This window comes from Homo sapiens, chromosome 4, assembly GCF_000001405.40.
Source record: "Homo sapiens chromosome 4, GRCh38.p14 Primary Assembly".
Taxonomy (NCBI): Eukaryota; Metazoa; Chordata; class Mammalia; order Primates; family Hominidae; genus Homo; species Homo sapiens.
The window spans coordinates 170321347-170334407 of NC_000004.12; positions in this window are offsets into that span (position 1 = coordinate 170321347).

Consider the following 13061-nt stretch of genomic DNA (forward strand, 5'->3'; position numbering starts at 1 on the left):
GAAACTGGATCCCTTCCTTACACCTTATACAAAAGTTAAGTTGGATTAAAGACTTAAATGTTAGACCTAAAACCATAAAAACCCTAGAAGAAAACCTAGGCAATACCATTCAGGACATAGGCATGGGCAAGGACTTAATGACTAAATCACCAAATAGCAATGGCAACAAAAGCCAAAATTGACAAACAGGATCTAATTAAACTGAAGAACTTCTTCACAGCAAAAGAAACTACCAACAGGCAACCTACAGAATGGGAGAACATTTTTGCAATCTACCCGTCTGACAAAGGGCTAATATCCAGAATCTACAAAGAACTCAAATTTACAAGAAAAAAACAAACGACCCCATCAGAAAGTGAACAAAGGATATGAACAGAGACTTCTCAAAAGAAGACATTTATTCAGCCAGCAGACACATGAAAAATGCTCATCGTCCCTGGCCATCAGAGAAATGCAAATCAAAACCACAATGAGATACCATCTCACACCAGTTAGAATGGCAATCATTAAAAAGTCAGGAAACAACAGATGCTGGAGAGGATGTGGAGAAATAGGAACACTTTTACACTGTTGGTGGGAGTGTAAACTAGCTCACCCGTTGTGGAAGACAGTGTGGCGATTCCTCAAGGAGCTAGAACTAGAAATACCATTTGACCCAGCCATCCCATTACTGGGTATATACTCAAACGATTATAAATCATGCTGCTATAAAGACACATACACATATATGTTTATTGCAGCACTATTCACAATAGCAAAGACTTGGAACCAACCCAAATGTCCATCAGTGATACACTGGATTAAGAAAATGTGGCACATATACACCATGGAATACTACGCAGCCATAAAAAGGATGAGTTCATGTTCTTTGCATGGACATGGATGAAGCTGGAAACTATCATTCTAAGGAAACTATCACAAGGACAGAAAACCAAACACGACATGTTCTCACTCATAGGTGGGAATTGAACAATGAGAACACTTGGACACAGGGCAGGGACCATCACACATTGGGGCCTGTCTTGGGGTTGGGGGCTCGGGGAGGGGTAGCATTAGGAGAAATACCTAATGTAAATGATGAGTTAATGGGTGCAGCAAACCAACGTGGCCCATGTATACCTGTGTAACAAACCTGCACATTGTGCACATGTACTGTGTAACGTAAAGTATAATAATAATAAAAAAAAAGAAATTGCCAACCCTACTCAACAGCTGTTGGAAAAAAATTATCTGTCCTAATTATTTTGCCTTTACATGTGCAGGAATGATAAGTACTTAAGAACAAATGTGTTATCTCCAGGCTGGAGATCTTCATTTGGATATATGGTAATTTCCTTAAACTTAACATGTCCAGACTGAACTTCTGATCCTCCCTCCCCAACCAAACCCCTATCACAAATACCCAATTAATATCTCTTGGACAGCAACTCTGCTCTTCTGATCACTATGTAAAAACTTTGGAGTACCTCGTTGACACTTCTTTCTCTCCCACCCTACTTCCAATTATCAGGAAATCTTAGTGTCTGAAACTTTAAAATATATTTCAAATCTGATTCTTTATTGCTACTTCTAACAACTATCATGTCGTAAATTTTTTCATTTTTTGCCTGGATTAGGCAATAATCATCCCAGTCACATCCCCTGATTCAACTTTCTTCCATCTGTTACTGCTTTCAAGATAGATGTCAGGAGGATCTTTTCAAAATGTTGGTTCACATAACTGAAAACCCTGTAGGGGCACCCTGCTTCACTGAGGTTAAAAACCAATATTCTGACTGTGCTCTGTAAGGCCCTATATGATCAAAATCTTGACCTCTATTCCTACCTGATCTGATCTCCCTCACATTTTCCAGCTGGGTGCCTGCTTTCTTGCTTCTTCTATAACACATTAGGTTGTGAAGCATCCTCTGTCCTCAGGTTCTTCACTCTGTCTGCTACCTCTGTCTGGAACCCCTTACCCACTCCTCCTTCCCCCTAAATCCCCTTGGCTATCTTTCTTACCTCTTTCCTCAAATCTTTGTCCTCTCAATAGGACTAACTTGAACCTGACATTTAAGATTGTGGGCTGTCCCCACCCCACTACTACAAATCCTCCTTATCCCGCTGTACCCTTTTCTGAATGCACATATCATCTTTTCAAATTTTATATAAGTTACTTATTTATTATTTACCATATTTTTCTTATTTCTTCTTTCTATCAGAAAGCTGTAGCTGTATAAGGATGGATTTTTTGTTGATGTATCCCAAGTATTTTGTATGGTATCTAGTAAATAGCAGACAATAAATATTTGTTGAATGAATGGACAACATATGTATTATTCTGTTCTCATGCTGCTATAAAGAGCTGCCTGAGACTGGGTAATTGATAAAGGAAAGAGGTTTAATTGGTTCACATTCCACATGACTGGGAAGGCCTCAGGAAACTTACAATCATAGTGGAATGGGAAGCAAACACGTCCTTCTTCACATGCCTGCAGGAAGGAGAAGTGCTGAGCAAAGGGAGGAAGCCCCTTATAAAACGATCAGATCTTGTGAGAACTCACTCACTGTCTTGAGAATATCATGGGGAACCTGCCCCAATGATTTAGTTATCTCCATCTGGTCCCACCCTTGACATGTGGGGATTATTATGATTCAAGGTGAGATTTGGGTGGAGATGCCTAGCCAAACCATATCAACATATTAAGCCTTCTTGAGGTATTTGTATGTTTAAAAAGTTTCTTACTCATCTATAGGAATCAGCCTCCAATAACAAACTTTCATGCGGTGTGGCAGATTTCTGGGAGATAGCCTGAGGCTTTTCCACTACTCCTCCTATTAAACAATTTGCATGTCTGAAACTTCAGAATTAAAATTTGGGTCAAAAATATAGATTGGCAAAACTATTGGTATGTTTAATGTATATATTATGCTATAAAATATATATACAAACATGAGAAACTGTTTGAAGAAATTATTGGGGGGATGTGATTATTAGTAAAACCTCCCAAAAGACATTACAGCTTAGTGGTTAAGATCACAGGCTCTGTATTTCAGTTAAATCTTAGTTATACTACTTCCTAGTATAAGCTTGCGTGAGTTATTGGAGTTCTCTCTGCCTCTGTAAAATCTGGACTTTCCTACAGTTGGGTACCGCAGTAAGTTTATGATAGCTGCAGGGTAGAAACATAATGAGTTGTATGCTTATTATCTGCAAAATAATATATTCAGATTGTGTGTGGAAGTTTTTATTTGGGGGACATTAAAAGTTCTTATGTCAGACACTGAATTGTACATTAGGTGACTCTTCAGTGACCATATTTATTTAAATTGACAAATAAATATTGTATATATTTATGGTATACAACACGATGCTTTAAAATATGTATACATACACTGTAGAATGGCTAAGTCAGGCTACATAATATATGCATTACTCCACATACTTATTTTTTGTGGCAAGAACACTTGAAATCTATTATATTAGCGATTTCCAAGTATATAATACATTGCTATTAACTATGGTTACAATGTTGTATGATATATCTCTTGAACTTATTCCTCCTGTCTAACTGAAATATTGAATACTTTGATAAACATCAAAGGATACAATCAACCTACCCCAGTCCCTGGTAACTACGATTCTACTCCCTGCTACTGTGACTTCAACTTTTTAGGCTACACAAATAAGTGAGATCGTGCACTTTCTGTGTTTTTCTGTGTCTGACTTATTTCACGTAGCATGATGTCTTCCAGGTTTATCATTGTTATTGCAAATGACAGGATTTCCTTCCTTTTAAAGGCTGACTAGTATCCCATTGTGTATTTATACCACATTTTCTTTATTTGTTCACGTGTTTTGGGTACTTAGCTTGATTCCATATCTTGGCTGTTGTGAACAGTGCTGCGGCAAACATGGGAGTGCCAATAATTCTTCAACATATTGATTTCATTTCCTTTGGATATATACCCAGTGGTGGGATTGCTGGATTATGTGGTAGTGATCATGTTTTAGACATGATGATAATAGTTTATATCTCCTAAGGTTGTTGTAAGAAATAAAATAATGCTTATAAAGTAGTCAGATCAGTGCATGGTACCTAGTTTAAATATTCAGTATTTATTGAACAAAAGGAAAGAAAGGATGCAAAACAAAATAGAGCATACAAAAAAGTTATTTAACCAAACACAGCACTTTATGGAAAAATATATCAACTGTTTTGTTCTTGTACTAAAATATATTTTGATAATATATGTATCACTTTATATTCTTTAAGATTTAAATCTATCCTATTTGTTATGCAAAGAAAGAGCTAAATATAACTACATTGGTTCCTCCACTGACGTATATGTGTAGACATTATTTTTGTTACAACAAAGACAATATTTACTGTTGGCAAGCTACACAGAAATACATGATGAAGGCAGAAAGAAAATATCAAGGAAACAAGTCATATCCTTTTAAGGACAAAGCTGTTCTTGTGAACAGTAATACCCAACACCACAGGATATCCGATTAACCTGTTTCAAGAAAAGTTCCCATCGTTGAAGGACATGAAGTATATTTCACACTTAAAAGTGTATTTGTCTTCCTATCTTTAACCTCACCCTTCCTTTTATGTTGCTTTGGTTTTTCAAATTCTCTGTGTATCCTCCTAGAAAAAATAAAATAAATAGAAAAATAAAATGAAGAAAAGAAACCCAGACACAACATTTAAGGTTAAAGAGTAAATTGTACAAAGGAATTGAAGAAAACAAGAGAGCTCTTAACTCACTTCCTCAAAGGATTGAAATTTTTATTTGAAGTCATCCTATGCATTAAAACATCACAGATTTTTATTACAGTGAATAACTATTGTGAAGTGGGGGAAGAGAAAGGAGGAAGAAGATACTATGTTTAATTCTTTTTATTGTGGTTAACATTACTGTGGTAGATGTTAGTGGTTGTAAATTGGATGAAACTTATGGAGGGCTGCTGAGTTGCTGGTCAAATTTCATCTCTTGATTTATGAGGTCCTTATTTTGCTTCCTTTGTAATCATTACGTATAATTCATCAATCTCTACATGAATAATTTGTATGCTTTTCTTTATATCTAGTATATTTTAATTAAAAGTTCATATGCAAATAAAAAATTAAAGAGAGCTCCAAATGTATTAAAAAGAGCAAATAATTAAATTTCATCCTGGGCTGTATTGCAGTTGGTTACTGCAGTTAGCTTGTTATAGCTATGGGGGAGAAACATAATACTTCCTTTTACCTGGAGATATAAAATAACTAAATTTGTGTGTGGGAGTTTATCTTTTTGGACTACGTGTTCTGTGTGAGCCAATAAATTGTATAGTAGGTGAGTCTTCAATGATCATGTTTTAAAGACACATTGCTCAAATTTACATTGTCCTTATTTGATCCTCTATAAAAGTAAGAAAATATCATTAAATCTTAACTCATTTGACATCATGCTGCAGGAAGATAAGGTATTAAAGTCTGGGTATATTTCTTTCTGTTGATTTAACATTATAAGGCATAGATACTGTGATATCCAAGACAATAAATAGTAAACATATTCATTATTATCTATTTTTAAAATGTCAGTTATCTTAGAAGTTATCTATTTTCCAATGTTGTGGATATTGAGGTTGATTTCTCTGATTAATGTCAAAAATCATCTGCTATAGGGAAGAAGGGCTGATATCCTTTAATTTTTTGATAGACTATATGTAAAGATTTCTCTGGAAATCTAAGAACCACACAGGAGGGGACTTGAATTATACTAAAAATCAAACTCCTTTTTCAAGAAGATCAAGGGACCATAAAAGAGCTTTGCCCAGCCTGGAATACCCGTTTCCTAAGTCCTTATCTGTCTCAATTCTTTCTTGAACATGTCTATTGGTATTCACCTTCTCCAGAAAGTTTTTTGGATTGCCTAGCTAATGCAGCTCTACATTTCTATAGTTCAAACCCCTAGCACTACAGTTTATAAACAAAAATATCACAAAGGTTGGTTTGCTTGTCCTCAGCACATAGTCAATAGGTGTTTGGTGAGTGAAAAAGTTGTCAGTTGGGGCTATTGACCTTCAGAGGGGAAACTGTTATACCTGCTTGCTAATAATCTGAAACTGTCTAGCGTTAGTAGACATTCTCAATGCCTATTAATTATTTTAATTATTTAAGAGTACGAAGAAAGAAGAGAAAAAAGAAATAAAAAAGAAAGGGAAAGGGAAAGGAAAGGAAAAAGGAAAAAAAGACAATTTAGTTGAGCAGGGTTGACAAATCTCTCAAAGCAGGTCATGGTGCAAATTCTTGTGTGCCTGACACAGAAAAATAAGTAGCTTACTATTGACCAATGGTAATTTCATTCTTAAATTAAGACATAGGCAATGAAACGTAGACAATAAGCATATTTTCTCCCTTTGAGTTCTACATGCATCAAATGAATCTTTGAGGGACATTCCACCAGGCCAAAGTCTAGACTAAACAGGTGTAAAAATGAGAACTATTTTAATTTTTAAAAATTAAGAATAGGCTGCATGAAGTTACAGCAGAGAAAAGGCAAGGCAAAGAATTATATCCTAAAGTATGAATCACATGTGGCTTGAGTTTATCCATTTTTCAAGTTTAATCCCTGAATTGAACTAGAATTCACTGTCTATTAATTTTATTCTAAAATCCTCCTGTAATTTTATAAGCCAGTTTTACAAGCTTTTGGTTTAATTCATAATTGTGTAAGAAAATTGTGGTGCTCGAATCATATCAAAAACAAATTTAAACCACCCAATCCAAGCAACAAAAAACAAAAAGATAGAGAAGGTACAGAAAGACATAGAGAAAGAGACTGACAAAAATGGGAAAGCATCTAGAATTCATGTTTTGTAGGAACTTGGGCTGGAAAAAGAGGACTGAAGTGGAATATGATTGATAACTTCACAAAGTAGGCACAAATTGGAAGTCAACACAGGTTGGCTTCATTTCAATATTGATAACTTTCAAAGCATCAGAGCTGTGCAGCACCAGGCAGAAGGACCTCATGGAGGAAGGCACACTCATTACTGGAAATGTTCAAACAGGGCCTGGGTGACCACCTCTCTGGGTGTTGGATGGCCAAGACATTGAGAAGACATTCGATGAAATTTCTTCTAATTTGTAGATTCTATAGAATGTAGTATCCCACAAAGGACATGGGAAAACACCTCTCTATTTCTTTATTCTTTCCTTTTCTCATAACCAAATAGAATTGATAAAATGCTATCTTAGAATGAATAACAGAGAGTATTATGACACATTTCATAAGTAGCTAAAATCTATAATACTCCAAACAGAATAAATGCTAGGTTCAAATCCCTAAATCAGATGGAGAAAGGAAAATATCCAGGTCAATCTTTTATAAAATTTAAAATGTTATATTTGATATATTGCTGATTTTCTACCATTTTATTAGCTATAATGGTTATTACAGTTATAAGTTTTAATAGGTCCATATGTATATATGTATATATATGTATGTATGTTCTAAAAGATGAGTTTAAGTGATGCAGGACTTATTAGTTCCGTAGAACATATTAACCATTGCACTATTTTTTATACTTATTAAGTAACTAATTGTATATCATATGGAAAAGAAAAAATAATAAGATCTAAAAACAGGTCTAACTGTCCAGAGACAGAAGGAGATAGGTCCCACGGTGTTGACTTGTACCTTGTTAGGGTGTTTCACTAAGTAATGCATATGGGGGTGTTTGAAATACATTTTCAATTAATTTAAAAGGTGTTTGTGTGCCTTTAAGGGATCAAGGATAGAATGGTAAACACACTATGTTATTTTTTCACTAAGAGTCACAGTCAGTGGGAGAAACAGATAGGTGAACCTAAAATTACAGTACGTTAAGACAGACACAATAATAGAAGCACATCGAATTGCTGCAGATCAGAGAGGAGGGGCATGTATTCAGAAAGGAAAGTCAGGAAGGCTTCATGGAAAATGTGAGATTCGAGCTCCAAATTTGGAAGAGTGAATTCATGTGCGCTACATGAAGAGGAATGAAAGGATTCCAGCAGTAGAATAATTCAGAGGTATCAAACAGTCTGATACTGCCAGGTAACTGATGCCCCAAGAAAGTGCTGGACCAGTCATGAAATGGAGAGTGAAGCAGGTGAATGGACAGCTGGGAGCTCAATAAAATGAGTTGCTGGCTGGAAGGGGAGGGCATAAAGCTGGGTTGAAATAGGATGGTTAGAGGTAAGCCTGATATAAGAGTGGGTTGAAGGGCAGACAGAACTAATCTTCTGAATATTACTTTTTTTATATAAAGCTTTCTCTAGTGTGTGGCTTTATGGCTTTATGAGTCGTGGAGTGTCTTTTGACCAGCATCAGACACCCAGGTGGCAGCCTCAAATAGCACTGCCTGTGTCCTGCTGGAAAAGCCAGATGTTGGCCTGTTGCTTTTTTTGCATGAATTTTATAAAATTGCAGAAAATTCTGGGGAAATGGAACTTTGATTAGTCATATTTTTCTGCCCATGGGGAGAATGTGATTTTAGAAGAGATGAAAGATATGAAATACTTGATTATATGTTGTTATTTTTCATGATATATTGATGATTATATGCAATAATAAATTAAAAAGTAATAAGGAATCAATTCTTTATTTCCATGAAGAGGGATCTTAGCTGTGATTCCATAAAGGTGGGCGGGTGTTTTTAGGGAGGATGGTTGAGGTGGATGGTAGCCTCTGCTCTTAGTTGTCTTCTTGCCTGTTGCTCATATTCCCTTTACTTTTATTTTTGTTTATTTATTTAATTTATAATTGATATATTATGGTCGTACATATTTTTGGGGTAAGTGTAATAATTTATACACGTACACAATGTGTATTGATTAAGTCAAGGCAATTGGGATATCCCTTTCAGATTTACTCCAGGGAAGATCACCTGTGCACATCTAATTGAGACAGGTGACCTGGATGGCTTTGAAGTTCACCTTAGCCTGACTAAACTTTAGCCTTCTTTCTGACGGCAGCCCCAGATCTCTCTTTTCTTAGAGCATTCATTCATTTTAGAAAACTTGCAAATTGTAACTATTTCTGTGCTCCTTTGAAATGAAAATCTTTAAAAAAGCCTCTTGCCAGTTTTGCAATCTAGAATTGTTTTTCTCAGGGAGCTGAGGGTCTTCCCCCTCCTTTTTTTTTTTTTTTTGAGACCGAATCTCGCTCTGTCGCCCAGGCTGGAGTGCAGTGATGCGATGTCGGTTCACACCATCCTCCTGCCTCAGCCTCCCGAGTAGCTGGGACTACAGGCGCCCACCACCATGCCCGGCTAATTTTTTATATTTTCAGTAGAGACGGGGTTTCACTGTGTTAGCCAGGATGGTCTCCACCTCCTGACCTCGTGATCCGCCCACCTCGGCCTCCCAAAGTGCTGGGATTACAGGCGTGAACCACCGCGCCCGGCCATGGTGGTGGTGGGGGGTGGGGTGTCGGGGGGTGGTCCTCCTTTCGAAATGCAATCATCAAGAAAGAGCCCCCATCTTTCTGGCTCTGTGTGGGGATAGGAGCCTAACTTAGATAAGCAAAAATTAGCAAACACAGATGGCCTAATTGCATTGACCAATTCCCCACAAATGCCTCCTGTACTTTTTCCACTCTCTCACCTCAGCATTTAAAAGCTCTTCCAACTTTGGTTTCTGCAGAATTGAGTTCAATCTCTTTCCCTTATTGCCATAACCTTGGCCCCAAACGCAATAGGTGTGGAATAAATCTTCCTTACCTGTTTAACTTGTCCACTGCAACTTTTCTTTGACATACGGTTTGCCTAGAATCACACTAAAAGATGGCCACATAAATCTATAGCCAAAAGAGTTTCAGTATAAGGTGAAATTGGCCATAGTAGCACGTGTTCGTGCTAGGTGACTGGAGATTTTAAAAACCTAGGTAATCAACGTAGTGTCTCTCTTCGAGTTCTATGTGCACAAGGTGAGTCTTTGAGGGATGTTCCACTGGGCCAAAGTCTAGGCCAAAAGATCTTTTAAAAGGTGTAAAAATGAGAACTATTGAGGGCAGAATGATTAGCTGTGTGAACTGAAAGTAAATATAGAATACTGGGATGGGACTGAAGGATGGAGATAATTATTCTTCTGCACGTTCAAGGAGTTAAGTTGCTGTGATTTTTTTTCCAGAGGTAAGATGGAAAATTAAGTCATATATGCAACAAATCTCTTTTTATGATGGTAAGTTTCTTTGAACTTTTTTATGCCTTCCAACTAGTGAAGATAATTGGATAGGTTATCCAATGATTCTTATATGACAACTTTGCTTGCAAAAACAAAGTGGGTCAAAAATGCAAATATAGCCTTCTGCTTTAATGCAAATATGGGAAATAAGCAATTATCTGACAAATGGCAGCTGTTTAAACTGCAGGATACTAAACTGGTATCTTAGCAGGGGTGTCATTATCTATAGGCCATTTAAAGTTTGTTTCTTTATTATTTCATTTTTATTGGCTTTGGTTTTAAAAAGGGAAAGATAAACTCCCCAACTGAAGGCTTTATTACTTTTACTATATAAATGTTGCTCTATGACCAAAAAGATATGCTGTTATTTGATTAAAGTTCTCAAAAGAGTAATCTCAACTTTTTTATTATTTCTATTTAGAGATAAAGAAAATACTTGAGTGTGTGTGTGTGTTTGTGTAGCAGCCAAGTTGAAACTTTTATGTTGACATTATTCTTGTTGAAATTTATCTTCACAATTCATAGAAATTGGTGATTGATGAGAAATTTTAATTTTTTTAAGTAAAATTTGGATTTGCTTAGCATCTCAGGACAGAACATTCTTCATGGATAGAATTCTGTTCTACATGGAAGTGGGCAGATAAATGGGGCAAACTGTGGTGGAATGGCAAAGGAGGTAAGGTTACTTTCCATTGCTCCCGTTTACTTTTTTTTTCATTTACTCCTAAGCACCGTCTCTCTCTTTCATTTCAGGTATTCAGTATCCTGTTAATTGTAATCCGATCTCCCCTGGAGAGAAAATGGTAATTACTTTCAGGTTCATGAATACCAATAATACCAATTGATGTATTTACCTCATTATTTTCTTTGATATGACAGCTACACTAATAGATCAGAACAAAATGTGTCCATGTAGTATCTTGAGTTCATCAAGTCACTTTGCAAGTTATCTCCAATATATTGTGGGTTAGCTATAGCAATATAAGCTAGATGCTGTAGATAGATTAATAATCAAATGTCTGCATTCATAGAATGACTACTAATGAACTGCTGTCAACAAGAAGAAAAAAGTTCGATCGGTGTAAGTGGTAGCTGGGTCCCTTTTCTCTTTACTATGTTCTTAAATGAACACATACAGGCAGGGTGTGGTGGCTCACACCTGTACTCCCAGCACTTTGGGATGCTGAGGTGGGCAATTCACTCAAGCTCAGGAATTTGAGACCAGCCTGGGCAACGTGGTGAAACCCCATCTCTACAAAAAAATACAGAAAATTAGCTGAGCATGGTGGCATGTGCCTGTAGTCCCAGCTACTTGGGAGGCTGTGGTCAGAGAATCACCTGAGTCTATGAGGTAAAAGCTGCAATGAGCAGAGATCAAGCCACTGCACTCCAGCCTGGGTGACAGAGTGGGACCATGTTTAAAAAAAAAAAAAAAGAAAATTAACATACGAAAAATACTTTTTTTTTTTTTTGTATGATGTGCAGCCTAGAAGGAAAGTGAGCAGTGGCATCAGGAGCCACTGAAAAAGTTATCAGACTGGGAAATTGTGTTATGCCTAATAATATTACTTTTATTAAGGATGAAAGTAAAATCCGACACTGGTGAACTCAAATCCCATGAGAGTAGGGACAGACATGGCACAAAGCATGGAAAATGGAACGAGATTTTAACTGAAAATACATTTAATATGAATCATCAATCAGATATGATCGCTATAGAGGCTAGTGCAACTTTGGCTAAATTAATAGAAATGTAGTTTAGAGAATGAGGGAGGCATTATCTTTCTCTTTTCTGTGTGTCAGGCAACACTTTGCTGATTGCTTTTAGTCCTAAGTGCCACAGTTTAAGGGAAAAATGCACAAATTGAGGACAGTTAATGGAAGGGTCTGGGGAAGAAGATGCCATGCTATAGAACTTTAGGAAGCACTGGAGCTATTTAATATGATGAAATGAATGTGCCTGTGTGTATCTGTGTGGTTAGAAGCATGAAATGGGTCAAAGATGGTTACCTGCATTCTATTTAGATCTAACAAATAGAATTAGGAGAATTAGAATTAAAGAGTGCATAGGGCTGGGTGCAGTGGCTCACACCTGTAATCCCAGCACTTTGGGACACAGAAGCAGGAGGATCGCTGAAGGTGAGATCAGCCTGCATAACACAGTGAGGCCCCCATCTCTAAAGAAAAAAAATGAGCCAGACATGGTGGCACATGCCTGTAGTCCCAGTGACTCAGGAGGCTGAAGTGGCAGGATTGTTTGTGCTCAGGAGGTTGAGGCTGTAGTGAGCTGTGATTACGCCACTGCACTCCAGCCTGGGGAACAACAGAGTGAGACCCTGTATCAAAAACAACAACAATGACAAAAAAGCAGAATCAAAGAACGTACTCTAAATGGGGACATTCTTTTGTCTAATAAATCTTAAGGCCAGGCATGTTGGCTCACTCCTGTAATCTCAGCACTTTGGGAGGCCGAGGTGGGTGGATCATCTGAGGTCAGGAGTTCCAGACCAGCCTGACCAATATGGTGAAACCCCATCTCTACTAAAAATATGACAATTAGTTGCACCTGTAGTCCCAGCTACTCGGGAGGCTGAGACAGGAGAATTGCCTGAACCTGGGAAGTGGAGGTTGCAGTGAGCCGAGATGGCGCCACTGCACTCCAGCCTGGGTGACAGAATGAGACTCCATCTCAAAAAAAACAAAACAAAACGAACAAACAAAAAAACTGCCACAAATCTTCAAGAAATTTCCTAGCTGATTTAGGGTAGAACACAGTTCCTTATGCTGGAGATGTGAGCACACATGTCCAAATGATTCCTGTTTACATTTCCAGCTAGAGTTGATGTTCTTTTAGTAAAC